Below are 27,879 nucleotides of genomic sequence, written 5' to 3'. Positions count from 1 at the left end.
GAAGTGGTTTCAAACTTTTTTATATCTCAAGTATATGCAAAATAATTAAAGACATTCTTAAATCCAGTGATTTAGGCAAGGCGTGGAGGCTCATGCCTGTAATAGCAGCACTTTGGGAGGCCAAGGCGGGTGAATCACTTCAGGCCAAAAATTTGAGACCAGCCTGGTCAACATGGCAAAACCCTGCCTCTACTACAAATACAAAAATTAGCTGAGTGTGGTGGTGCACGCCTGTAGTCCCAGCTATTCGGGAGGGTGAGGCAGGAAAATTGCTTGTACCCGAGAGGCAGAGGTTGCAGTGAGCTGAGAACATGCCACCACACTCTAGCCTGGGAGACTGTCTCAAAAAAAAAAAAAAAAAAAGACTCTGTTTAAAAAAAATTTAAAAATCCAGTGATTTATAAGTTGAATTTTACTGAGAATTGCTTCCAGCAGAATGGGTTTTACACTTTTAAATAATTGCTTTAAAAAAAAAACAAAAACAGAAACTATATTGAGCCACAACACTCACATATATTTATTAGCTGGCCCTTTCAAGAGCCTGCAGACCCCTGCCATTATAGCTGAGTAAATCACAGTAAGAGTTTCCTTCAAGCTGGAGTAGTCAATTTTGAGTCAAAAGGATTTCAGAGTCTTCTCTAACAAACAGAAGGCAGTATACCCGTAGGTAAAGAAAAAAATAAGAAAGACTTGCTGACTCATAGAAACATAACCATAAACCCCTGGCCCCATGAGTAATTTATTTTATTAGAACTCAGGCCTGTAATAATCTGACCATCTCACTCACTACTGGGCACAACTAGTTAGACTCAATGATCCAATGCAGCAGCGGTAGTGAAAAGGGCGTAGTTATATGTACAACTTCCTCTCTAACCATGAATATTAATGTGTATGGCTTTGTTTTTCTTTCTTCTTAAAGGCATAATGTAGTTCTAAGTGCCAGTTTCATCTGGTATCTGAAATAAGAAAATTAAATATCCAATCATCCAAAGAAGAGCTCACTTCTTTTCCTGTGCTAATGCAGCCATTTATCTCTGTTATGATTCCTCTAGTCAACATCTTGAATAAAATCATTCTTGTTCTGGGATCCAACACCTAAAAAGAAATGCAAAAATTAAAAAGTTCCAAAAGACGGTACCAAATTTTCCTCATTAAAACCTGTGACAATCAATAAACAGCAGAGCTTAACTGTACGACGCTATCCTGGTTGACTAAATGAGAGTCACTATTTGGTGCTTTTATTCACTCTAATTGTTAATCAGTAAAATGTCAGGTAAAGGCCAAAGGAACCAAAGGCAAAACCAACTAGCAAGTTCATCCAGTCATGGAAATCAAAGGCAACCAAGTTCAAGAGAAACAGAACTCTAGGCTATTAGCTAATAGAAGTATAATGCAAACTACATAAATAGTATTACATTGTTCTAGTCACTACACTGAAAGTAAACAGAATCAGGTGAAATTATCTTAATATATTTTATTTAACTCAAAATATCTAAAACGCTATCATTTCAACCTGTATCAATATAAAAAGTCATCAGTGAGATAATCCTTGTTTTTGACACTAAGTCTCCAAACTCCGGTGTCTTTTGCATTTAAAGCACATCTCAATTCAGACTGGCCACATCTCAAGTGCCCAGTGGCTACCGTCGTGGACAGGCAGCTGTAAATCAGGGGTCAGCACTCTCCGGCCCATGGACCAAATCAGACCACAGCTTGTTTTTCCTTAGCTTGCAAGTTAAGAATGGGTTTTACACTTTTAAATGATTGCTTTGAAAAAAAATCAACAGAAACTATATGTGAGCCACAATGCTCACACATATTTATTAGTTGGCCCTTTCAAGAGTCTGCAGACCCCTGCCATTATAGATTAGTAAATCACGGTAAGCATTTCCTTCAAGCCAGAATAATCAATCTTGAGTAAAATGGATTTCAAAGTCTTCTCTAACAAACAGAAGGCAGTGAATTTAAAGGCTGTTCTTGTTTATCTCTGAAACTAAAGCAGCCAAATATTTGTATGCAATTTCTAAGGATACCAACCAATAACTCCTTGTGGCTCAGGCAGGCCCTCTAGCCCCCATGGGGTGAGACGGTATTATAAACTAGCCAAACTCAACTATACTTTAGGGTCCACCTTCAATGAAGTGGCTGGGGTCACACCACAAACCTAAGGTTAATATAAACAAAACCACCTGGGAAGACTATAGGACTAAAAACCAAATCACGACCATTGCAACTAGAGAAGAATGAAAAGGCACTAGTTTCCATTTCTTCTCTACTGCACAGGTAAGCAAAGAGGGGAAGTCAGCTGGCTGAGTATGGGCCTCTAGGTACAGAACTGTGCTTCTGCGAAGTTGGCAGTTAGACAAGTCAGGGGCATAGGAAGAAGTAACAAACCAGATGGCTTAAGAACAAAACAGGGAAAGAGAAATGATAAATTTACACACAAGCATATATTTTATATAGACAGCTGAAGACTCCAGCTATGTACTCTATCATTCAAAATTAATTTTGAAAGAGAAAAAGAATTTCCTGCCAAAAATAACCCTAAAGTTATTTAGGGTCTTTGAAACTTAAGGCTATCTCATTTTTCCGAGGTGAACCATACTTTGTTTTCAATTACAGAAATAAATCACAAAATAAACTAGGGGACAATGAAGACACAGACCACAGACCCGGCTTCTGTCTAATGGTGGAATTCAGAACATGTGCTTGTGTATATGGGAGGGGGTGGTGGAAAGGAGTGGTAGGTGGCAGAGGCAAATGTTCTGACTCTTTTTATCACTTTCTTCACATCAAAAATCTGGGCCAAGGCTAATATCCAATCACATTCTTCGGAATGTGGGAAAATTAGGGGCCAATTTTTCCCCATTCTTGAATAGAAAGAATAAAACAAGCATAATTTCTAAACAAAGGATTCCTAACTGGAAATTTGAAGACATTATCTGCCCCTCTCTCTTTTACACCCACACTTCCTGCTTTGTGGCAGATACCCTACCTATCTTCTGGGAAAGCTCACAAAATTCCTACGGACCTTTTCTAAAAGATTGCTGGTCTGATAATCTCTCCAAGAAGGGAAAGCATCGCATGGTGGCTCTGCAAGGCCACTGAAGGACCATGACTCTAATTCATCCAATAGTCCTATAAAAGCAAGATGTAGGTCTCTAAACTCGAAACTATAAAAAGGAATAATTTTATATAGGAGTAATTTTAGGTAACATTAGCATTAAGCAAAAAGGATAAAAGCAAACTACAATTCAAAGAGAGAAGAAATGCTAATTAAAAAGAAGAGTTTGCAACACATTTAAATTGTACCTGTTCTACAGTTGCTCTGTCTGCCTTATCTTTGATGCGATACCTAACCAAAAACAAAAACGTATAGTTGACACATTCAAAATTCAGTGAGAAGCCAAAATCTTCTAAATGTAGATAATTTCATGAAAATTCCTAAGTAGGTAGTTTCTCTAAATAACAGATTTTATGATATGATTGTAGATTTTTCATTACTCAGTGAAACTTTCTTCATTTCCCCTGAATACCAAAATTCAATTCTGTATTTTGGCAAAAGGAGTATGTATACAGTAAAAAGAAAAATCTATTCCTATTTCAGAAGCATCAAAGAGCCGCCAGGGTAAAGTGAACTATGCTGAAAAAGAGAAAACATTGAGTATATTTGTACTGTCCTTCACATCTTTAATGATTCTGTTAGCACACAATTAAAGTCTTGTCTTCTTTTTTTTTTTTAAAGAGACAGCATCTTACTATGTTGCCCAGGCTAGGCATAGACTCCTGGGCTCAAGTATTCCTCCTGCCCCAGCCTCCACATAGAGTTAGTCATTTACAAGGCTTTCTGTTTAGAGGCATTTTCTAAGAAGATACAAGTTTTTTTGTTTTTGTTTTTGTTTGTTTGTTTTGAGATGGAGTCTCGCTCTGTCGCCCAGGCTGGAGTGCAGTGGCACGATCTCGGCTCACTGCAAGCTCTGCCTCCCGGGTTCACGCCATTCTCCTGCCTCAGCCTCCCGAGTAGCTGGGACTACAGGCGCCCGCCGCCAAGCCCGGCTAATTTTTTTGTATTTTTAGTAGAGACAGGATTTCACCTTGTTAGCCAAGATGGTCTCGATCTCCTGACCTTGTGATCCGCCCGCCTCTGCCTCCCAAAGTGCTGGGATTACAGGCGTGAGCCACTGCACCTGGCAGTTTTGTTTTTTAAAATCGTTTCAAGACAGTATTCAAATGCAGACTCTGATTTGCTTCTGCTTATACACTGAGTGACTCCACCTAGCACACTAACCTAAACTAATAAAGGTTTAAACACAAAGATTCAAACAGATACCAGTGAAATAACAAATAACTATGGTGTATCTCAAAAAGCTGATACCTCTTGGACATAGCAATAAATTGGAAGAAAGCTGGCTTTTACGTTCAATTCTCACAGTTAGTTGTATGATCTTAGTGTCGTTTTCTATAATATAGTGATAATACTTTAGAGTTATTAGCATATAAGAGAAGTTATTCAGATCTTAAACAATTGGCTTTGAGAACAGAAGTGTAAACAGAAACAGTTCTCAGTTATATCATTAGTTCATAGTCTTCCCTTAAATTTTTAAAAATACTTCATGGGAAAGAATAATTCTTAATAAATTTTAAGGGAACATTTTTGCACATTTTAGTTTAAACTGAAATCTACAAACACTGTTCCCCTCATAAGAACACATTTGTAAATTTCATGAGATTACACTTTTACCATGTATTTCTTAAAATTCATTAATTTTTATTTTATGTATTTATTTTTGAGATGGAGTCTCGCTCTGTGGCCCAGGCTGGAGTGCAGTGGCACGATCTTGGCTCACTGCAACCTCCACCTCCCAGGTTCAAGAGATTCTCACACCTCAGCCTCCTGAGTAGCTGGGATTACAGGCGTGCACCACCATGTCTGGCTAATTTTTGTATTTTTTGTACAGACATGGTTTCACCATGTTGGCCAGGCTGGTCTCAAACTCCTGGCCTCAAGTGATCCCCACAGCTCGGCCTTCTGAAGTGATGGGATTACAGGCATGAGCCACCACACCCAGCCAAGATTCATTAATATTTTTAATTCACAAAGGCATAGGTTATCCTAATTTAAGCTAAGGAAAACACACACACACACACACACACACACACCAAAATAATGATTGGTTTAAGTATACAAATGAACATCCTCTGTAAAAGAATTATGATCAAGGTGCTGCTTAATCTAGATTAGTCCTTATCACCCATGCATATTATTAAAATATTACTTACATATCTGCTTCCTTTTGTCTAGACTTTTCGGTGACTTTATTTATGACGGAATCAGTAACATTTAGCTTATCTAAAATACAAGAAACCCACAATGTAAACAATATGTAAGACGAAAAGACATTAACAGAGTTGCTGAACAGGGTATTTCTCCCCTCTTCCTTCTCTTCTACACTTTCTAAATGTTTTATTGTAAATAGAATACAGTTTAGTAATGAAAACAATGTAATGTTTTTAAAAGTAGGCACTAAACTGCGTTTCCTTCGTAAGTGTCACTTTCATCACTACAGCTATAATATTTGAGCCACAGAATTCTAGATGCAGAAATTCTTCAAAGATAATAATTTGCATAATAAATTTCAGACACTTGCTAGTACTCCACATGACTAATAAAACTGCCTGAATTTCAAGTTTAATTCTAAAAACTTGTTTCACTTCAAGTTATAAGTCTATGATAGGCAAAGAAGGCCCTAAAATACTTATATTAATTTAGCATGTATTGACAGCTTATATGAGAAACACTGTGTTAGGTTTAGAGTGAAGATCCACAAGAATAGAAAGATGGCCTTCCTTCCTTCCCTCCATCCCTCTTACATTTTCTATGAGATGATGATTCAAATTAACATTCTGATGCCTGGCATCGAACAGGTCACTAAATAATTAACACCTACACAAAAAACCTCTAGTGAAACCGTATGTAACTATATTCAATACTCTAGTATTTTCAACATCCTACTATGAGATAACCCTATTACAAAATCTAAAACAGGCCAGGCGCAGTGGCTCACACCTGTAATCCCAACATTTTGGGAGGCTGAGGCGGACAGATCACTTGAGCTCAGGAGTTCAAAACCAGCCTGGTCAACATGGAGAAACCCCGTCTCTACAGAAAATAAAAATTGGCCGGGTGTGGTGGTGTGCACCTGTGGTCCTAGCTACTTGGGAGGCTAAGGTGGGAGGATCGTCTGAACCCCAGAAATCAGGGTTGGAGTGAGCCAAGATCGTGCCACTGCACTCTAGCCTGGGTGACAGAGTGAGACCCTGTCTCAAAAAAAAAAAAAACCTAAAACCGAACAGACAATACTTAAATGGGTTTTTGTAACATTACATTCCTATGGCAAGTGGGAAAACAACCAAAATAGCATAAGCTTAAGTCTTTTCCTAAAGTTATGTTTTTAAATTACGATTTTTATTTTCTCTAAACATTATTGAGTTAGTAACACTTGAATACATTCATTCCTTTTTTCTTTTTTTTTTTTTTTGAGATGGAATTTTGCCCTTATTGTCCAGGTTGGAGTGCAACGGCACAATCTCGGCTCATCACAACCTCCACCTCCCAGGTTCAAGGGATTCTCCTGCCTCAGCCTCCCAAGTAGCTGGGATTACAGGCATGTGCCACCACGCCCAGCTAATTTTGTATTTTTAGTAGAGATAGGGTTTCACTATGTTGGTCAGGCTGGTCTCAAACTCCTGACCTCAGGTGATCCACCCACTTCAGCCTCCCAAAGTGCCGGGATTACAGGCGTGAGCCACCACGGCCAGCCTTCATTTCTTGATCTAATAAAATTATACAACACTCCATGGTTTTTGAAAAATGTCCTCTTAGCCCAGTGATGTATTTTGTAAACTCACCTAAATTAATTTTATTCTCAAATTTCCGTAAGACCTTGTCTGCTGGAGTAGACATTTTGGCTGAACTGCTGTCGGAGGTCTGTCGATTTGCCTAGAAGGGAATTCCAGAGTCTAAGGCACTAGCTGTAAAAACAAACCTAAGATTCATCATCACATTTCCTTAGTTCATACTTAGCTATTAAAGCATCAATACTTAGAGGAGTATCTTAAGGAAAGGTAAGAGTCAATCAAATTGGCTCAAAAAATTTTTTAAAGAGCATTTGAAACAGAAGGTTAAAATTACTGACTAAAAGAGTCTGCATAATCCGTTTTTTTAACTTCTCTATGATTCCTCTTATTATAAGTAACAGATTAAAATTAAGTGTAGTTTTCTAATTTGACTGGTTTATAGACTTAAAATTTGAGAATGTTCATTTACCCCCAAAGTATATAATAAAGAGCTAAGACCAGCATTAAGCTGGTTCAGAATTTCATTTTGGGCCCAATGTCTCAAGAGAGGGAAATATTAAGTACGAGGCTCAGCACTTACGCTGGTGCTATGCGCAAACTTCAATAATGAAATTGCTCAAAGCCTCATTATGAATCAGTGAAGGAGTCACCAGAACAAGACGATATAAAAATGCAAAATTTGTCGTCACTCACAATGTGGTTATTTTAAAATGCACACATTCTGGTCCATGATATAGCCATTTTATTGTTGTTGTTTTTTACAGACAGAGTCTCGCTCTGTTGCCCAGGCTGGAGTGCAGTGGTGTGATCTTGGCTCACTGCAACCTCCGCCTCCTGGGTTCAGGCGATTCTCCAGCCTCAGCCTCCCGAGTAGCTGGGATTACAGGCACCCACCACCACGCCCGGCTAATTTTTGTGTTTTTAGTAGAGACAGGGTTTCGCCATGTTGGCCAGGCTGGTCTCAAACTCCTGATCTCAGGTGATCCGCCCAGCTCGGCCTCCCAAAGTGCTGGGATTAGAGGCAGGAGCCACTGCGCCCAGCCGATATAGCCATTTTAATGGTCAAAGGAAGACTGCTGGATTAACCTTTATGCTCCAGGAAGATGTACCATGTTAATCCTATGGCCTTACAAACTCCTAACACACTTGGTACTTCCAGTATGAGCAGCAGCTGTACGTGGTTTGGTAACTTTTTTTTGTACATGGTAAATAATCACAAACATATTCCTATCTCATTAATACAGTCTTCCATTACAACATCTTTTATGGCTGTATAATGCCTCATTGTGCGAATCAGTCCCATAGCAGGTTTAATCCCGTTCAAGGTTGCTTCCAATGTTCCTCTACCATAAACAATCCTGGAGGATCATTCTTGTAACTAAGTCTTGGCACACTCACAGAATCGCTAAGTCAAAGTATTTTGAAGCTTTTAAAGTTTTTATCACATACCAGCTTATCCTACAAGTAAGTGCACCTATTTACTTGACCATCAATGATATGTTTTGTCTTTAACAGTTTCACAGGTGAAAAAACGGCATCTCTACAAATTTAATCTGCATTTCTTTAATTACCAATGAGGCTGAACTTTTTTACCATGTTTCTTAACTATTTGTAGTAAACTGCCAATCCATGCCCTTTCCCATGAAGATTTTAAGCTCACAATCTTTATAACTCTTTTTAAATTTACAGATTCTGGAAAGAATCCACACCCAGGAAATTATCAGAAATACAGAAAGGATGAAAAGTGAAAATCAGTAAAGGCTGAGGCTACAGGACAATATAACATGAAGAAAATCTTTTAGTTATTCAATTTCAGAATCACAAAACAGCCTTTTAAAAAAGTAGACATAAGCAGACTACATAAAGATGTGCAGGATCCTTTATAAAATACCTGTGGGTTGCTTCCTCCATTCCAGACATAACCCTTGGCGAGTTTTCCAACTCCTTCATCCCAGTCCCAGTCATCATCATCATCGTCATAACCCTCCTCCTCCTCATCTTCTATTTCACCTTCACCATTCTCATTCACATTGTCTTGAAGGTCTTCAAACAGAATGTCATCCTTCTCTTTGACTGTCTTCAAGTCTCTGTTTTCACTAGAAATAACAATGTTTTATTATTTCATAACAATATTTCCACATACCCTAACTGATCTCACATATTTATGATGTAAGATATTAAAATATTGATAAATCTAAAAGATTATATATTTATATAAAATACACCTTCCGATAAGCTCCATCTCCTTAAAACCATGTTCTCCTGTTTTCCAGTTCTGTTGCAGTTGTTTGCTCATTCTCCATGCCCAAAGCCTACTATTCAAGAAGCACATCAAGTTAAATCTGCTTCTGCCTTGTTAAAGTTAGAAATTATATTGTTATCTTCTCTGCTGAATAAACAACTCAGACCAGTATACCAGACTTGACTCTAGGAAAATCATTCGCAGAGCTGCTTTAGAAAATCTCTAGGAAAATCTTTCTGTAAAACAAGAAAAAAGAAAGGGGGAAAAAAGGCTGGTGCAGCGGTTCACACCTTTGATCCCAGCTACTCGGGAGGCTGAGGCCATAGGATTGCTTGAGCCCAGGAGTTCACGGCTGCAGTGAGTCATGATCGTGCCACTGTACTCCAGCTTGGGCAACCCTGTCTCTAAAAAAAATTGTAATTAAAAAAAAAAAAAAGCTTTCTGACAAAAAATTTGGGAATAAGTCTAAGGCAGTCTTACTTTGAACTCGATAACACTTTGCAATAAAAGAAGTTACATCAAGATTTGTGTTCCACAAAGAAATCCAAATCATCCCTGTTCATGATGGGAAGAAATGGTGAATACAGGGACCAGGCACTACAAATGAGAGAAGTAGGCTGCACAATAGAAGTGGGGACTGGCAAACTGGGAGAAGAGGTCCAAGGTAAAGGGAGCACAACCAGTAAGGGCTTTTTTTTTTTTTTTTTTTGCCATATTAGAATTCAGGCCTAGTGTTACCAGATCTTAATTTTTCAAGTGAAGCTGTAAGTCTGGATTTCTGTGTAAAATCTATCCCTTCACTGGCATAGTCAATTTTTACAAATAATTGTGCATACCAAACAAAACATGTCTGCAGGCCAAATTCAACAGAGGACTCAGTTTTTACCTCTCATGTACAGAAAAGGACAGAAACCATAAAAAAGCAGCTGATAATATGAGATACCAGCTGAAAAACAGACGAGTTTAAGTAAATTCAGATTATCAATCCCAATTTATTAATTAGCCATGGCTCTGAGGGTTCCCCGTGGACATGTGGAGGAAGAAAACAGACAATCATCAAACACTTGCTACTTACCAGGACTTCATACATATGCTCCACAGATTGATATATAATTGCCTAGAGTGGCATGTTAAAGTTGTAACTTTGCCAGATAATTCTTCGTTGTGGGGGACTGTCTTCTGCACTGTAGGATTTTTAGCAGCATATCTCTGGCCTCTACTTACCAGATGCCACTAATGTACCACCACCCCCAGCTGTGACATACAAAAACGTCTCCAGAAATTGCCAAAAGTCCCCTGGGTAGAAGTCGGGATGGCAACATCTTCCCCAATGGAAAATCACTGGTGTATCCTTACAATACCCTGGGGTGGATGGTAAATTAGTGCCCTCTCATTACCATTAACTACCCACTAGCTATGCTGGCTGTGTTTCTTCTGCTGCTTTTCTTCTCTAAAGCTTTTTGTACACTTCTCCGTAACCATAAAACTGGAATGCCCTTCCTCTTTCTCTGGCTAACCCCTACTCATCCATCAAGTATCAGCTCACTATCACTTGCTCAAGGAAGTCTTCCCTATTTTTCCCCCACTTCTCCTTTGTACTACTTACCCAATTCGAATACAAATAGTCTAATTATTTAATAATATCGGTTTCCCCTGCTAGGGTGCAAGCTCTGTGTCATTCAGGATGGTATTTACCAATGCCTCCCTACCACCTAAGACTAGATCTGACTCACAGAAAGCATTCAACATACATATATTTATTGAAAACATCCCCAATAATTAACAAAATCCGCATGTGATGAATCCTTACTGTAAACATAAAGTACAAGCTGTTTTCTTGGAATTCCAAAATAACTCCAATATGTTTCATTTTGCTTTTAGGCAGGAGTTATCCTTCATCCCTCTTTCCCCAGACTCCACGTCCAGTCTACCACCAAACGCTGCCACTTCTACCTCCAAGACATATCTTTAGGATCTGGGCTCTAGTCCCCACCATCTTTGAATCTGATTACCTTATTATTTTTGAACTGGTCTCTCTGTTCCACTCCCACCCTCCATGAACATCATCTACCTAGAAAGAATGATTCCTTTAAATCACCAAGCAAATAATGTCATTCTTCTGCTAAAATCCCTCCTATGGCTTTCCATAAGACCCACATTAATATCTGAACTTTTCACCATCACTTGTAAAGGTCTCCATGATCTGGCCCCCCTTCTTACTTCTCTATCACCCTACCAATCTTCTCAACTACCTCCACTGTGCTCTAGGCACTCTGGCCTCGGGGCCTTTGCTCTTGCTGTCCCTTCTGTGTGAAATGCTGTTCCCTCTGCTCTTGCCAGGATTAGCTCCTTGTCATTCAAATCTGGACTTAACCTTTCCCTACCCATTCAGTCACCACTTGGTATATCAAACGATTTGCATAGTCTACATCATTATTTGGTTTTTAAATGGTGTGCCCTCTCTTTCACGTAGAAGGTAAAGTTCCATGACAGCAGGAAGTTGGTTCTTCTTGTTACCTCCGGCGCCCAGGACAGAACGTGGTACATATTAAGTGCTTAGTAAGTATTTGTTGAACGCTAAATGTGGTTAAAACGCAAAAACCCATGTTTCCTAATCGCTATCCCCAACTCTGCCTCCCAGTGACGCTAACCGACCTGAGAACCGCAGACTCCCTTGACAAGTAGCTTTCACTTAACTCTGCCGCGTGAACTGGGAGAAAAACCCAGCTGGGATGCAGAAACAGGCAAAGGGTTGTCAAGAGAGACGCTGAGTGATGAACCACTAGTCTCCCTCTAAACCGCAAACAAGAGTCCACACCCCAAGGGGGCGGTCAAGGAGAGAGCCGTACCCAGAGCCAGGGCACTGTACGGCCGCCTACCTGTCAGAGGAGTCCGCGTCGTCGAATTGCCCGGGGACCACCCGGCTCATGAGAAGCCGCCGGTAGTCCATGACTGGAGAGCGCCGCCGGAGGCCGCCGCTCTGCGATGGAAAGGAACGGCTCAGACGGATGTACCCACGGCCGATCCAAAGGCCTTGGCGTGGATATCCGCCTTGCAAACCATTCAGAAGCCAACAGTGGCCACCACGTGCGACGGGAAAACGGGACCGACAGATCCACCACCCTGCCACCCCAACCGGAAGCCCCTCACCGCCTCGCCCGGAAGTCTGACTTGAGCGGAAGTCCCGCCCCTGCGCCGAGCTGGGAGTCCGGAGCTCTCTGGATGGCGCGCTGTATAGGGCTGTGGATGTTCTGTGCTCTCAGGAAGGCGTGTTGAGTAGCCGGCACGGCGAGGCCCGTGCTGGCCGTTTCTTCCCGGAGTTTTCGTTTCTGTACCCCACTTTGTGTTTACTGCGGCAGGAGGCGCCAGCTAGCCCACAGGCTGTTCGGCCTAGGGGGTCGTACCTTCCTAACTTCACCACTCTCTGGGAAGACACCGCACCCACAGTAGGGTCGCTCGGGCCTCGCGGGCTGCACCTGTCTCTGCGGAGTTCCCCCGGCGCGGGCGGACGTCACACAGGGGCGTTCCAGCACTCCGGGAGCCCGATTGCGAGTTTGTGAGAGTCCTTGGTGGAGGAGGTTGGAAAGCGTTCTCCCTCCCACAAAACCCGGTGCAGAGGGAGGGAGAGCCAGGTCCGTAGCGTGGGTCCAAGAAACTATGGATCCTGGAAGTGAGCACACTTTTGTGTCTTAAAAAGTTTGGTGTCTCGTTTTGAGGTGAAAAATGAATGAGATAAGTGCTTTTTAAAAAGGTAAAGTTTGTCTTACAACTGAAAAAGCTTTTAAACAAAACTATAGTTTTTGCGAGTAACTCCCGTGACACCTCTTTTAACTCCTATCTTAAAACAGCTTTAGAATGTCTCTGGAACATCTATTCAAACATTTGATAAATATGTTAAAAATCCAACATAAACCTGTAAGGACAAATGAAAGATGGAAAAAATAGTCTAACTTTAAATTAAAAAGGTAAACTGGCAGATTGTGCAGTGCCACATGAGGGATGAACAAAGTTGTAGAAATGTAATTGGAAGTGCTGGGTTCACAAACAAGAAAACTAAGAAACAAGGCCTTTGCGCTTTTTTGCATTGGGAAAACAAAGCAAGAATTTTTCAGATCTCACCACAATCCAGGCAGCATTATTTGAAAGACAAGGGAGAAGTGAGCATAAAGTTGGGCCTTTCACTGATCCTGACTGGTCTGCTTGGCTTACTTTTTTATATTTTACCAAGTGATGACATAGGTTTGAAAACAACTAATTTTCAATAAACTATTCATTCAGAAATTCAATAAAAGAATCCAGGCAGATGAGTAATGACTATAAATTGAAAGAGCTTGATAGAAATAAGTCATTGGAATGCAGGTTTTATTCAATCAATATTTGCTGTGTAGACAGCACTGGTCCATTTGCAGTAGGGGATATTGGAAAGCCCTAAGTATGCTCCTCTCAAGACATTTATGATCTGTAAACACAAACACTAACACCCTTGAAACAGTGGTGAAGCTCTAAAACAGTAAACGAAATCACCAAGTGCTGAATTGTAAGATAGAGATTTAGAGACTGAAGACATTGTAGGAATTTTGAAAATAGATGAATGGGTAGATGGGAAGGTTTTAGGAGAGAAGCACGTGCCAGGGCAGATGACTGAAGCTTAATTCGTAAGGAACATTATCTGTCTGCAGGGAAATGAGCCTGATCTGAGTAGAGCAGGGGAGTACCGGGTAGGGGATGTCACTCCAGGCTATGGATGGCCTGGAAGGACAAAAATTTATAGAATCAATGTGAGTGGCCATCCTTTCCACTCTCAGCTCTGGAGCTCTGGACAGGCCTGAGGAAGTCAGGAGAATATGGACCAGTGTGGCAACATGGGATGGAAAGAAAGCACAGGTTACTGAAAGACTTTTTTTTTTTTTTTTTTTTTTTGAGATGGAGTCTTGCTCTGTCACCCAGGCTGGAGTGCAGTGGGCCATCTCGGCTCACTGCAAGCTCTGCCTCCGGGGTTCACGCCATTCTCCTCCCTCAGCCTCCAGAGTAGCTGGGACTACAGGCACACGCCACCGCGCCCAGCTAATTTTTTTTTTTTTTTTTTTTTGTATTTTTAGTAGAGATGGGGTTTCACCGTGTTAGCCAGGATGATCTCGATCTCCTGACCTCGTGATCCGCCCGCGTCGGCCTCCCAAAGTGCTGGGATTACAGGCGTGAGCCACCGCGCTCGGCCCTGAAAGACATTTTTAAAGGAGACATGGACGGGACTTGGTATCTGAATAGCCATGCATGATGAGGTAGAGGGATGCCAAGACAAGTCCAGTTTTCAAACACATGTACCTGAGGGAATAGGCGCAGTATAGGAAAGTGAGGAGGGAAAACAGTTACAATGCTGGGTTTGACTTGGTAGTGAGGTGTTCAAGTGGAAGGTATCAAGTAAATAAAAATCCAGGATTTTGTGGAAACTATTAGGTCTCTGATAATATTTTGTAAATATCCTTGATTAAATAACACAGAGATCCCTTCACTTCTAGGTCCAAAGCCTTCTAGGGAGTTATTGGATAGTAGCCAATACTGTTTGTTTTTCTCCAAATCAGTATTTACTACCATACCAAATTACGGTATACTCAGACTAAAATTTTTAATTTTTCTAATAACTTGACAAATGACATTTCAAATAAGGGCAGTGAACTTTGCTACTTTCTTAATGAGAAGAGGGATAGGGAAAAAACTTTTTGTTTATACCTACTAATAGACACATTTTTTTTTTAAAGAAGTCTTCTATTGTTCAACAGTTATGAACAAGGACTATCAAAAATTTTGGTCATCACCTTCAGATCCTGTACATTTTGAAGTGGATACTTCTCATGAAAAAGTAGAAAGCATGTCAGAATCGGATACCATGAATGTCAGCAATCTTTCTCAAGGTGTAATGCTTTCACATTCTCCAATCTGTATGGAAACCACCGGCACCACTTGTGACTTGCCTCAGGTGTGCATTGCTTATAAGTTCCAGGAGGCTCAGATGTATTCAGAATTCACATTGTCTTCCATATGAAAATTTCTTCAAAACTATAAGGAACAATAAAACAATATTCGGTGGACACATAAAGGAGGGGAATACAGGGTCTGGTTTTCCCAGTTTCGCTAGCGTAAGATACATTTTGACCAGCCTGGGCAACATGGTGAGACCCCATCTCTGCTAAAAATATAAAAATTAGCCAGGCATGGAAGCGAGCACCTGTAATCCCAGCTACTCTGGAGGCTGAGACAGGAGAATCACTTGAACCTGGGAGGTAGAGGTTACAGGGAGCCAAGATCGCGCCACTGCACTCCAGCCTATGCGAGAGAGCAAGGTACATTTTTACACACAGTGTTAAAACTGATCCTTTCTAGCCAGGAGTGCAGCCAGGGGACGTGACCAATTCAGTCAGAGGCAGGACAAGAGCCCAAGGAACCTGACTTCTAGTCTAATGCATCTTCCACTTACATCAGTATGCAAATGATTCAGTTGTCATTCATAATGACATTGACAGCACCCTGCATATAAATGACAACTTTCCTGTCTTCATGAAAATGCCTAGCTCCCTTTATTAAAAAATAAAAGATTGTAATGTCCCAATATCTTCATGAGTGTTGTGCTAAACGTTTGATAGTCAGTGACATCTGATTCCACTAAATAGGAATTTATAAAAATACATCAAAGATATATGCCTGTTTTATATATCTTCAGTGTTAAAAGACTGAAATAACCATCTTAATGCTGTTTAGACTAGATTTAATAAACATCAAATAATTATCAATACATAAATATGCTATCACGTATCCCTAAGTTTATAGTCACATGATTTGACTTACCAAAAAACCAAAATATTAAAATAACAAGCTATTTGTTACATTGTTGTTTAATATTGGGACTCTGTTAGCATAGTTTTACTAAAAGGGAGCCAAATACATGCTGGGGAAAGATACTAGAAAGCACATTCTACCTATGTAATGAAATATTCTAATAGCAGAATTATGTAACAATGTGCAAATACCTTTAGAAGAAGCTTGTGATGTTTGCTTGAAGTATTGATGCCTTTTTTATTAATACAGAACGAAATAAAGAATTTTGAAAGGGAAAATGAGTATGAATCCACACTTTGTGAAGATGCTTATGGCACACTAGACAATTTGTTAAATGGTAAGTATCTACTTGTTAGCAATATGCAAAAGAGAGAAACTTTTTTTTGTGTTCCGTGATAGTAACAATAGCCAGGTTTTGTGCTAAGCACTTTATATACATCATCACACTTAATCCACAAAAAAATCTTATTGAAATAAGAATTTTAAAAAATTGAAGTAAGGGCTGTTTTTATCTTCATTTTACAGATAAGGAAAATAAGGCTCAGAGAGTAACTTGCCCAGGATTGTGTAGCTTTAAATGAATGAGCCGTGATCAAGTCTCAGACTCAGACACAAAAATTTTCTACTATACAAGTATCCTTAAATGTGTATTGAGGTTGGGTGTGGTGGATCATATCTATAATACCAGTGCTTTGGAAGGCCAAGGCAGGAGGATTGCTTGAGCCAGGAAGTCCAAGGCTGTTATGAGCTATGATCATGTCACTGCACTCCAGTGGGCAACAGAAGGAGAACCTGTCTCTTAAAAAAAAAAAGCGGGGGCCAGGCACGGTGGCTCACGCCTGTAATCCCAGCACTTTGGGAGGCTGAGGCAAGTGGATCACCTGAGGTCGGGAGTTCAAGACCAGCCTGACCAACATGGAGAAACCCCGTCTCCAGTAAAAATACAAAATTAGCTGAGTGTGGTGGTGCATGCCTGTAATCCCAGCTACTTGGGAGGCTTAGGCAGGAGACTCCCTTGAACCCAGGAGGTGGAGGTTGCTGTGAGCCGAGATTGCACCATTGCGCTCCAGCCTGGGCAACAAGAGCGAAACTCCATCTCAAAAAAAACCAAAACAAACAAAAAACACCAGGTACAGTGGCTCACACCTGTAATCCCAGCTCTTTGGGAGGCCAAGGCAGAAGGATTGCTTGAGTCCACTAGTTTGAAATCAGATTGGGCAATAGGACGAAACCCCGTCTCTACTAAAAATACAAAAAATTAGCCAGGCATCGTGGTCCATTTTGGAGGCCTGGGTGGGAGAATTACCTGAGCGCGGGAGGCTGAGACTGCAGTGAGCCGAGATCACGCCACTGCACTGCAGCATGGGCAACCATAGTGAGACCTTGTCTCAAAAAAAAAAAAGAGAGCTGTGTGTTGATTTAACCCCAAATCTGTTATTCTAATCCTAAATTGACAGATGAAAGCTATTTAGGATTTAATCATATAATGAGATACATTGATCATGTTTTTGGTTTTGTTTTTGAAATGGATCTCACTATGCTGCCCAGGCTGGTCTCAAATTCCTGGGCTCAAGTGAGTCTCCTGCCTCGGTGTCCCAAAGTGTTGGGATTACAGGTATCAGCCACCACACCGGGCCCTACACTGATCATGTTTATTAAAGTAAATCTAAATGCTGTATACAAATGTCTTTATTTTTAATACTTGCAAATAATACTAAAATGAAAAGATTTGACAAGGCTTATTGAAATTATGGAATTTAATACATGCAGGTGTAAGAAAAATAAGCGCTGCCGAGGCAGGCGGATCACGAGGTCAGGAGATCGAGACCATCCTGGCTAACATGGTGAAACCCCGTGTCTACTAAAAATACAAAAAATTAGCCGGGCATGATGGTGGGCGCCTGTAGTCCCAGCTACTCAGGAGGCTGAGGCAGGAGAATGGCATGAACCCAGGGGGTGGAGCTTGCAGTGAGCCGAGATGGTGCCACTGCACTCCAGCCTGGGCGACAATAAGTGCTATAAGGATTAGAAAGGAAGAGAAGTAATTATCATTATTTGCAAATATGTACTTTTCTACATAGAAAAGTCATAAGCACCTACAGATGAGCTATTAAAACTAATAAGAAAGTTTAGAAGAAAGCTAGATATAAAATTAATATTAAAAAACCAATAGCATTCAATGCACTAGCAACAACAAATGTAAAACAGTAATTCTTAAAAACTTACTATTATCAGTAACAGCACAAACTAAGGTACCTAAGAATAAATCTAACAAAAAGTGTAAGTTTCCATTAAAAAACATTATAAAACTTTCCTGGAGGCCATAAAAAATAATTAAATGTTTCATGTTCAGATTGTAAAGATGTCAGTTTTCCTGAAGTCTATTGATTAATGCAATTTCATGTATCCTACCTTAATCCTAACATCCCCATTCAGAAGTGAAAAAGTTAAAAAAAATACCCAATACAATTTTGAAAAAGAAGATGTGGAGACTTACCCTGCTAGATAACAAGAGTTATTAGTTATAGTAATTATAACAATGTATTATAGGCAGAAGGGTAACAAACCAGTGGGATAAATAAAAGACAAAGTCCAAAAGTAGACCCATTTATATATGAGGACACCTGGTATTTGATAGAGGTGTCATTATAAACCAGTGGGGGTGTTCATTTGGTTGTGCTGGAACAGTTGGCTCTCTCAATGCAGAAAATGATTAGAACCTTACCTCACACCAAATACAAAATAAAGTCCACATGGGTAAAGGCCTACATGTGAACTGCAAAGTTCTAACTTATAAAAGAAGTGTAGAAAATGCTGTATTAGTCTGTTTTCACACTGCCATAAAGAACTACCTGAGACTGGATAATTTATAAAGAAAAGAGGTTTAATTGGATCACAGTTCCACATGACTGGGAAGGCCTCGAAACAGAATCACGGCACAAGACAAACAGGAAGCAAGGCATGTCTTAAATGACGACAGGAGGGGCAGGGGAACTGCCAAACACTTTGAAACCATCAGATCTTGTGAGAACTCAACTATCGCAAGAACAGCATGGGGAAAACCGTTCCCATGATTTAATTGCCTCCCACCAGGTCCCTCCCTCAATACGTGGGGATTACAATTGGAGATGAGATTTGGGTGGGAACACAGAGCCAAACCATATCAAATGCCTTTGTGACAACAGAAAAGATTTCTTTTTCTTTTTTTTCTTGAGATGGAGTCTCGCTCTGTCACCCAGGATGGAGTGCAGTGGAGCGATCTCGGCTCACTGCAACCTCCACCTTCCGGGTTCAAACTATTCTCCTGCCTCGGCCTCCTGAGTAATGAAACTACAGCTGCCTGCCACTATGTACGGCTAGTTTTTTTGTGTTTTTGTAGAAACAGGGTTTCACCATGTAGGCCAGGCTGGTCTTGAACCCCTGACCTTGTGATCTGCCGGCCTCAGCCTCCCAAAGTGCTGGGATTACAGGCATGAGTCACCACGCCCAGCCTAAGATTTCTTAAGACATGAGAAATGCAGGGCTGGGCACGGTAGCTCATACCTGTAATCCCAGCACTTTGGGAGGCCGAGGCAAGCGGATCAGGAGGTCAGGAGTTCAAACCCAGCCTGGCCAATATGGTGAAACCCCCGCCTCTACTAAAAATACAAAAATTAGCTGGGCATAGTGGCGCGTGCCTGTAGTCCCAGCTACTCAGGAGGCTGACGCAGGAGAATCACTTGAATCCGGGAGGCGAAGGTTGCAGTGAGCCGAGATCGTGCCACTGACTCCAGCGTGGGTGACAGAGTGAGACTCTGTCTCAAAAAAAAGACAGGAGAAATGCAATCCATAATCGATGCATTGACTACATTAAGAAAACGTCTGTATGGCCAAAGTATAATAAAGTAAAAAGCATGGAGTGAAGATACATGCAATATGTATAATTGACAAAGATTTGGTATCTAAAATAAAGAACTACAAGTCACTTAGAAAAAGGCACATAATGGCTGGGCACGGTGGCTCACGCCTGTAATCCCAGCACTTTGGAAGGCCAAGATGGGCGGATCACGAGATCAGGAGATTGAGGCAATCCTGGCTAACACGGTGAAACCCCGTCTCTACCAAAAATACAAAAATTAGCTGGGTGTGATGGTGGGCGCCTGTAGTCCCAGCTACTTGGGAGGCTGAGAAAGGAGAATGGCGTGAACCCAGGAGGCAGAGCTTGCAGCGAGCCGAGATCGCGCCACTGCACTCCAGCCTGGGGACAGAGTGAGACTCTGTCTCAAAAAAAAAAAGAAAAAGGCACATAATTCAGGCCGGGCACAGTGGCTCACACTTGTAATCCCAGCACTTTGGGAGGCTGAGGTGGGCAGATCACATGAGGTCAGGATTTCAAGACCAGCCTGGCCAACATGGTGGAATCCCATCTCTACTAAAAATACAAAAATTAGGCGGGCATGGTGGTGCACGCTTGTATTCCCAGCTACTTGGGAGGCTGAGGCATGAGAATTGCTTGAACCCAGGAGGTGGAGGTTGCAATGAGCCGAGATCGTGCCACAGCACTCCTGCCTGGGTGACAGAGACTCTGTCTCAAAAAAAAAAAAAAGGCACGTAATAGAAAAACAGGCAAAGTATATGTATTAGTAGTTTACTGGGGCTGCCATAACAAAACACCACAAACTGGGTAGTGTAAACAACAGAAATTGATTTTCTCATTCTTAGAGGCTGGCAGTCCAAGATCAAGGTGCCAGCACGGTTGCTTTCTACTGAAGCCTCCCTCCCTGGCTTGCAGATGGCCAGCTTCTTGCAGTGTCTCACATGGCCTTTTGTCTTTGTGTATGCCTTGCTGCTGTCTCTTCCTCCTCTTATAAGGACACCAGTCATACTGGATTAGGGCCTACCCTTGTGACCTCTTTTAAGCTCAATTACTTTTTTAAAGGCCCTGTCTGCAAATAAGAGTCATGTTTTAAGGTACTAGGGGTTAGAGCTTCAGCATATGAATTTTGGGGGCACACAATTGAGCCCATAACAGTATACAACAAGAAGATCACAGAAAAAGAAACCTGTAAGACCATTAAATACATGAAAGGATGTACATTAAGAAGGTCACAGTAAAATACCATTTCATGCATATGAATTTGACATGTTTTGGAGAGATGTGTAGAGCAAAGGAACCCAGAGGCTACTGGTAGAAGCATAAATTGGTACACTTTGGAGAGTAATTTTGCAATATCTAGTAAAGTTGAAGATATGTATTTTCTATAATCCAGCAATTTCACTTCTAGGTGTATCCCCAGAACCTAGCCAAAAGTTTTTACATTGGCATAGAAGGAAACATGTTCACTGCAGTGCTGTTTTTAAGGGCAAAATTAGAAGCAACTTAAATAGCCAACAAAAAAGGAATAAAGTGTAATCTTTCAGTAGAATGAACTACATATATATGTATATATGTGGCTAAGCCTCAGAAGCAAAATTTTGTGTGAAATAAAGACTTTTTTTTTTTTTTGAGATGGAGTCTTGCACTGTCACCCACGCTGGAGTGCAGTGGCATGATCTCGGCTCACTGCAACCTCCGCCTCCCAGGTTCAAGTGGTTCTCCTGCCTGAGCCTCCTGAGTAGCTGGGATTACAGATGTGCACCACCACGCCCCACTAAGTTTTGTATTTTTAGTAGATACGGGGTTTCACCATGTTGACCAGGCTGGTCTCGAATTCCTGACCTCAGGTGATCCACCCACCTCAGCCTCCCAAAGTGCTAGGATTACAGGCGTAAACCACTGCGTCCAAGACTTTTATATGGCTATAGATAGAGTGAGATGCTATTTATGTAAAATATAAAAGCACATAAAACAATACTATATATTAATCACTCACCTAAAGTGTTGCAGGGTATTTTGGAGTTTGAGGGAAACAGTGACACTGGACATCTATCAGACCCCCACAATCTGTTAGCTGTAGTTTTCACTATAAACCCATACTATAGTCCTTCCTATGATGTCTTATTTGTAAAGGTAGGTTTTTGGAGGTTGCTATAATAAAAAGCAAGTCCCGTATGAAAATCATTGTGGAATAGGAAGTGAGAGTGGTGGTCTCCAATCTGATTCCACGATTTGAGGTGCTGTACGGTGCCTAACAGTGTACATCCAAGTAGTAAAGTGTGGTTGTTTAAGAATAAAATATTATATTTTTCTTTTAGTTTATGTGTATTTTCAAACAGCTAATAACTTAGGACAAATACTAGTTTGAACTTAATTATTTACTAAATGGAACTTAAGTATTCCTTTTGGTCCAGAGGTACTGTGAAAAAAAGTACTGAGACATTAAGGGTGTCACAAAATGAGGAAATCTGGGAACTTTATTCTTTGGCAAGATTATGTTGATTTTATTATTTAGGATACATAAATCAGTAGTAAAAGTAAAATGGGAATGGGAAGAATGAATACATATGGGCTTCAGTACACTGGTTATCTCTGGGGAGGAGGAAAGTTAGATAAAAGGGATCAATAATTTGTAACATTCTGTTTTCTTATTTGCTCCTGATTTTAAAAAACATTACATCTGCATAATTTGTCATATTGAAAAATAGTATAGCATAGCATTTAGAAGTAGTAGTCTAGAATCTCAGCAGCACTGCTTAGCAGCTCTGTGACTTTGGACAAGTGACTTTAACATCTCTTACACTTCAGTTTCCTTATCTGTAAAATAGGGATAATAACAGTACTGACATCATGGGATTTTTGTGAGATTAAGCAAGTTTATATGTGTTTTCTATTATACTATCCTTGTCCTTTTGAAACATTGTATAATTTAAAACATCTTAAAATTACAGTACAACAAAAGAATTTTGAAGATCTCTTGAAATTTATTGTAATTTTATTTGACCAGAATTACATATAACACACTTTTTCCTAGCAGTCATTTGGGGACTTCTTTCCCCCATGTAAAAAGTTTTGTTTTGTTTGCTAGCACAAAACCATGCTAAAATTCACACAGTAAATAAGGTTGAAATAATATATAATTTTTAAGTGGCTACAGCAGTTTATTTGATAAATATAAATATAACTGTTACCATCCAAGTTCATGGTCTACTCGTTTTTATTTCCTTCTTTCTCTTTCTTATGAGATAACAACATTGAAAATTACTCAACGAATGCACTAATTCAGCCAGTTGACACCATCAGCATATCTTCCTTGAGACAATTTGAAACCGTTTGCAAATTTCACTGGGTAGAAGCATTTGATGATGAAATGACAGAGAAGCCAGAATTTCAAAGTCAAGTGTATAATTATGCAAAAGACAACAATATAAAGCAAGACTCATTTAAGGAAGAAAATCCAATGGAAACTAGTGTTTCTGCAAATACAGACCAACTTGGTAACGAGTATTTTAGACAGCCTCCTCCTAGAAGCCCGCCTCTAATCCACTGCAGTGGAGAGATGCTGAAATTTACAGAAAAGTCACTGGCTAAAAGTATTGCCAAGGAATCTGCCCTCAACCCTAGCCAACCTCCAAGCTTCTTATGTAAGGAAAGTGTACACAATAATATTGTAAAACCATTTGATAAAGAGAATAGTTCTAACCTAGTTCATCTGAGAGTTAATTATAAAGCAGAGGAGGTACGATTGTGATGGTCAGTAAAGCCTGTGGAGTATTAAAGGATGCATTTTAAAAATTGTATATATATATATATAATCTGAGACTTTTCCAAGTAGTGTTAAATCACCTAGTTAGCATGAGGGACTTTGCTTCTCTGGGGAAAATGCATTCTGAGATCTTAGCCAATTCAGAAATAAATTTTTCTAGTAAAATCAAGTCCATACTTGAGGATTAGCTCTACCAAATGGTAATTTCTCTAAGGATCAGGACTGTCTTACTCACCCTCTTATGCACCACAGCGTCTATATGTTTCCTTGAATATAATAAGCTTTTTTTACCATAATTTTTTTTCACCACAAACAAGTTTATTAGAGAAGTAAAGAAACAAAAGAATGGCTACTGTGTAGACAGAGCAGTCTGAATATAATAAGCTTTTATATTTGTTGAATCAAAATGGCTGGAAGTAGCAGAGTTTACACTGATGGAAAGGTCAAGAAGAGGAAGGAGTGCAGAGGCACTAATTCATTTTTCAAGAAAAACAAGATTTCTCTGTCATATTGGAATTCTACTGACAAGCAAAAAATACTACTTTTTCTACTAAAGTGAAAATATTAGTTTATCATTTGGTTTATTGATTCCGAGCACACATGTAGTATCCTAAGAGCACTGAAGATACCGACAGTATATATTCTGTGTACTTTCTGAACAAAAAAATTAAAAATACTAGGAATTGGTATGGGAAAATAGATAAAATTCAAGAATAGTATAAGTAATACCTTTTCTCTTTTTTTGTTGTTTTGTTTTGTTTTTGATACGGAGTCTCACTCTGTTGCCCAGGCTGGAGTGCAGTGGCATGATCTTGGCTCACCGCAACCCCTGCTTCCTGGATTCAAGCGATTGTCCTGCTGCAGCCTTCTGAGTAGCTAGGATTATAAGCGTGTGCCACCACACCTGGCTAATTTTTTTTTGTATTTTTAGTAGAGACGGGTTTTCACCATGTTGGCCAGGCTGGTCTTGAACTGCCGATCCACCCGCCTTGGCCTCCCAAAGTGCTGGGATTACAGGTGTGAGCTACCACACCTGGCCAATAATACCTTTCCAATGTGAGTTTGATGGGAAACACTATGACTATAATGTCTTATTTACAAGTATGAGCATTTTCATTTTTTTGAAAGTAGATGACAGCATTTAAAAGGACTTTATTTGTCCAAGTTGATTTCTGGAAAACAACCTTTTAAAAATCAGCTTAAATAGGGTTTCGCAAGATTGTTCTTTCCTCTTTTCATTGCATTTAGCCATTTTTCATTCAGTCAATAGATACTTTTAGGCATCTATTACATGGCAGGTCTGTACTACACATTAGGTGATGGTTAGAAAATAGACAAAAAGATGTAGTTCTTGTCCTCATGAAGACAGCATCCTACTAGAGGAGGTAGTCATTAATCAATCACACAAATAAATGTGAACTTGCAACTATAATAAGATCAATAAGGTGAATAAAGTTACATATAAAGTATATGTAGAGCATGTTATATAAAGTTACTATTTATGCTATGATGCTATATCAAGTTACAGATAAACTTGCAACTATGATAAGTGCTGCATATGTAAGTAGGTTGGGCATCTATGATAAGGACACTACCCTGATCAGGGAGTCTGGGGAAGGCATCCCTGAAGAAATGATCATTGAGCTGAGCTCTAAAGGATGGGTAGAAGTTAATTAGGCAGCCATGGGTAGGAGAGCCTTCCATACAGAAGGAAGAACGTCTGCAAACCCTGTGGCCACAGGAAGCATGGTACCTACTAGGACCTGAAGGAAGCCCTGAGTCCAGGAAGATCAGAGTTGGAGGAAGGAGGAGGGGTACAGCAGATGAAGACAGAGAGGTGGTGTGGGTCAGATACTGCTTTAGTTCATTTCATCTTGCTGCAACTATATCACAGACTGGGCAATTTATAATGAATAACAATTTATCTGGCTCACGGTTCTGGAGGCTAGGTCCATGGTGCCAGCATCACTCGAGGGTCTCTGTGCTGTCATTTCATGGTGGGAGGTGGAGGGGCAAAAGAAGGTGAGATCGAGGGAGCAAGTGGAGGCCAAACTAACTTTTATTTTATTTATTTATTTATTTATTTATTTATTTATTTATTTATTTATTTTGAGATGGAGTCTCGCTCTGTCGCCCAGGCTGCAGTGCAGTGGCACCATCTTGGCTCACTGCAACCTCCGCCTCCCGGGTTCAAGCAATTCTCCTGCTTCACCCTTCCCAGTAGCTGGGATTACAGGTGTGTGCCACCACGCCCAGCTAATTTTTTGTATTTTTAGTAGAGACAGGGTTTCACAGTGTTAGCCAGGATGGTCTCAATCTCCTGACGTTGCGATCCACCTGCCTCGGCTTCCCAAAGTGCTGGGATTACAGGTGTGAGCCACCACTCCCAGCCCCCAAACTCACTTTTGTAACAAATCCACTTGTGATAACTAACACACTCCTGTGATAACAACATTTAGTCATTTTTATTCACCTCTTACTAGGCCCCGTCTTCCAACACTGTTGCACTGGGGATTGGGGATCAAGCTTCCGGCACGTTAACTTTAGGGGATGCATTTAAAGCACAGCAGATATCAAGAGCAAGATATTAGGGCCTTGTAGGTCTCAGTAATGATAGTTATCTTTATCCCAGAACAATGAAAAACCATTAAGATACAAGGTTCTGCAGAAGGATGAGCTCAAAAAACAAAATACAGAAGTCCTTGTCTCTAAATTCCAGAGAATTATACAGCACACCACTACAGATACCTTTTACTGGGTTTTTACTTATTTATTTATTTTAGATACAAGGTGTCTTGCTCTGTTACTCAGATTGGAGAGCAGTGTGATCATGGCCCACAAGAAATCCTCCTGCCTCAGCTTCCCAAGGAGCTAGGACTACAGGCACATGCCACCACACCTGACTGATTTTTAAAATATTTTTTTTGAAGAGATAGGGTATCACTGTGTTACCCAAACTGGTCTCCAACTCCTGGTCTCAAGGAATCCTCTCACCTTGGGCTCCCAAAGTGTTGGGATTACAGGTATGAGCCACTGTGCCTGGCCTGGGTTTTGTTTTTGTTTTTTTTGTTTGTTTGTTTTTTGTTTTTTTGAGACAGAGTCTCGCTCTGTCGCCCAGGCTGGAGTGCAGTGGCGTGATCTCGGCTCACTGTAGCCTCCACCTCCAGGGTTCAAGCAATTCTCCTACCTCAGCCTCCCGAGTAGCTGGGACTACAGGTGCACACCGCCACGCGCAGCTAATTTTTGTATTTTTAGTAGAGATGGGGTTTCACCATGTTGGCCAGGATGGTCTTGATCTCCTGACCTCATGATCCACCCGCCTCAGCCTCCTGAAGTACTGGGATTACAAGCATGAGCCACTGCACCCGGCCCTGGGTTTTTAATGTCATATTCATTTCACCATTTCTTACCACAAATTACTGTCTTTTTTTATTTTTATTTGTTTATTTTATTATTATTATTTTTTGAGACAGAGTCTCGCTCTATCGCCCAGGCTGGAGTGCAGTAGTGTGATCTCAGCTCACTGCAACTTCCACCTCCTGCGTTCAAGTGATTCTGCTGCCTCACTCAGCTTCCCAAGTAGCTGGGATTATAAGCATGTGCTACCATGCCTGGCTAATTTTTGTATTTTGGGCAGAGATGGGGTTTTATCATGTTGGCCAGGCCGGTCTCAAACTCCTGACCTCAGGTGATCCACCCACCTCAGTCTCCCAAAGTGCTGGGATTACAGGCGTGAGCTACCTCGCCCGGCCTACTGTCTTTTTATAACCTCCTCGAGACCTCTATCGGCAGCATAAAGTCAATCATGAGGCATGTTCTTCTGCCATTCTAATGTTCCTGAGAGTCACAGAATAATGAGATAATGGTCTAAATGTGGAATAAAAAATATTCAAAAGAGAAGAGAACTTTCCCCCCTAAAAATCCAAACTTTTGGCCCAGTAATAACATGTAAAAAAAAAAAGAGAGAGAACTTGCAGTCTGTAAGGTAATTGATACATTTATTTGTCTGAATTTATTTGAAGTCAAAGCATCTTATATGTGTTCAGAGAAGTTTGCATAATAGAAAATGGTAAGAGGATGAAAGTTTAATTTTCCTTTTGTCAAAGTAAATGGGATGTATATCTGTCATATACCTACTGCCTGTGCCCTGCTGTGCTGTTAGGTGCTGTACAAACATTTAGCAATTAATACATAGGTATTAACTTTTGTTAATAGGCATTATTATTGGAAGTAGATACTATTGTTACTTTATAGCGGAGAAAGCCAAACAGGGGATCTACTAATAGAATTCAAGGCCAGCCCTATTTGACTTGAAAGCTCATTATC

General features: G+C 40.5%; 2 protein-coding genes across 6 annotated transcripts in view, besides 5 other annotated features; one reads left to right on the top strand and one right to left on the bottom strand.

Moving 5' to 3' along the window:
• Positions 1-12,245, bottom strand: part of RIOK1 (RIO kinase 1) — a 28,230-nt gene extending 15,985 nt beyond the window's left edge. Inside the window, exons 1-6 of one of the 3 annotated variants that reach the window (NM_001348194.2) lie at positions 11,980-12,245; positions 8,750-8,954; positions 6,910-7,032; positions 5,281-5,350; positions 3,313-3,355; positions 1,003-1,095 (exon numbers count right to left, since the gene is read on the bottom strand). In NM_001348194.2, the coding sequence (NP_001335123.1) occupies positions 1,003-1,095; positions 3,313-3,355; positions 5,281-5,350; positions 6,910-6,964 (261 nt within the window). In that variant the 5' untranslated portion in view covers positions 6,965-7,032; positions 8,750-8,954; positions 11,980-12,245. Of the gene's footprint in view, positions 1-1,002; positions 1,096-3,312; positions 3,356-5,280; positions 5,351-6,909; positions 7,033-8,749; positions 8,955-9,083; positions 9,332-11,979 lie in introns of those variants that run through there. The other 2 variants (NM_031480.3, XM_011514933.4) reach the window with 2 other exon arrangements.
• Positions 11,573-12,359: an enhancer, noted in NCBI's record as "NANOG-H3K27ac-H3K4me1 hESC enhancer chr6:7389927-7390713 (GRCh37/hg19 assembly coordinates)". NCBI's record gives its function as "activates a minimal SCP1, AML or CMV promoter by ChIP-STARR-seq in naive H9 embryonic stem cells {active_cell/tissue: H9 hESC(naive)}" and the evidence as "EXISTENCE:reporter gene assay evidence [ECO:0000049][PMID:30033119]".
• Positions 11,573-12,382: a biological region, named in NCBI's record as "NANOG-H3K27ac-H3K4me1 hESC enhancer GRCh37_chr6:7389927-7390713".
• Positions 11,963-12,382: an enhancer, noted in NCBI's record as "active region_23949". NCBI's record gives its function as "activates an Ori minimal core promoter by ATAC-STARR-seq in GM12878 lymphoblastoid cells {active_cell/tissue: GM12878}" and the evidence as "EXISTENCE:reporter gene assay evidence [ECO:0000049][PMID:35858748]".
• CAGE1 (cancer antigen 1) overlaps positions 12,311-27,879 on the top strand; it is a 63,084-nt gene continuing 47,515 nt past the window's right edge. For 2 of the 3 annotated variants that reach the window (NM_001170692.2, NM_001170693.2), the window contains exons 1-4: positions 12,311-12,851; positions 14,857-15,074; positions 16,181-16,268; positions 23,033-23,436. In NM_001170692.2, coding sequence (NP_001164163.1) covers positions 14,880-15,074; positions 16,181-16,268; positions 23,033-23,436 — 687 coding nt within the window. In that variant the 5' untranslated portion in view covers positions 12,311-12,851; positions 14,857-14,879. The remainder of the gene's footprint in view (positions 12,852-14,856; positions 15,075-16,180; positions 16,269-23,032; positions 23,437-27,879) is intronic. The other variant, NM_205864.3, reaches the window with a different exon arrangement.
• Positions 12,513-12,562: an enhancer, noted in NCBI's record as "active region_23948". NCBI's record gives its function as "activates an Ori minimal core promoter by ATAC-STARR-seq in GM12878 lymphoblastoid cells {active_cell/tissue: GM12878}" and the evidence as "EXISTENCE:reporter gene assay evidence [ECO:0000049][PMID:35858748]".
• Positions 12,573-12,632: an enhancer, noted in NCBI's record as "active region_23947". NCBI's record gives its function as "activates an Ori minimal core promoter by ATAC-STARR-seq in GM12878 lymphoblastoid cells {active_cell/tissue: GM12878}" and the evidence as "EXISTENCE:reporter gene assay evidence [ECO:0000049][PMID:35858748]".

Source organism: Homo sapiens, chromosome 6 (genome assembly GCF_000001405.40).
Source record: "Homo sapiens chromosome 6, GRCh38.p14 Primary Assembly".
In the NCBI taxonomy this organism is placed as follows: domain Eukaryota; kingdom Metazoa; phylum Chordata; class Mammalia; order Primates; family Hominidae; genus Homo; species Homo sapiens.
The sequence above is the reverse complement of the archived record's forward strand: the minus strand, read 5'-3'. Positions and strand labels throughout refer to the sequence as shown.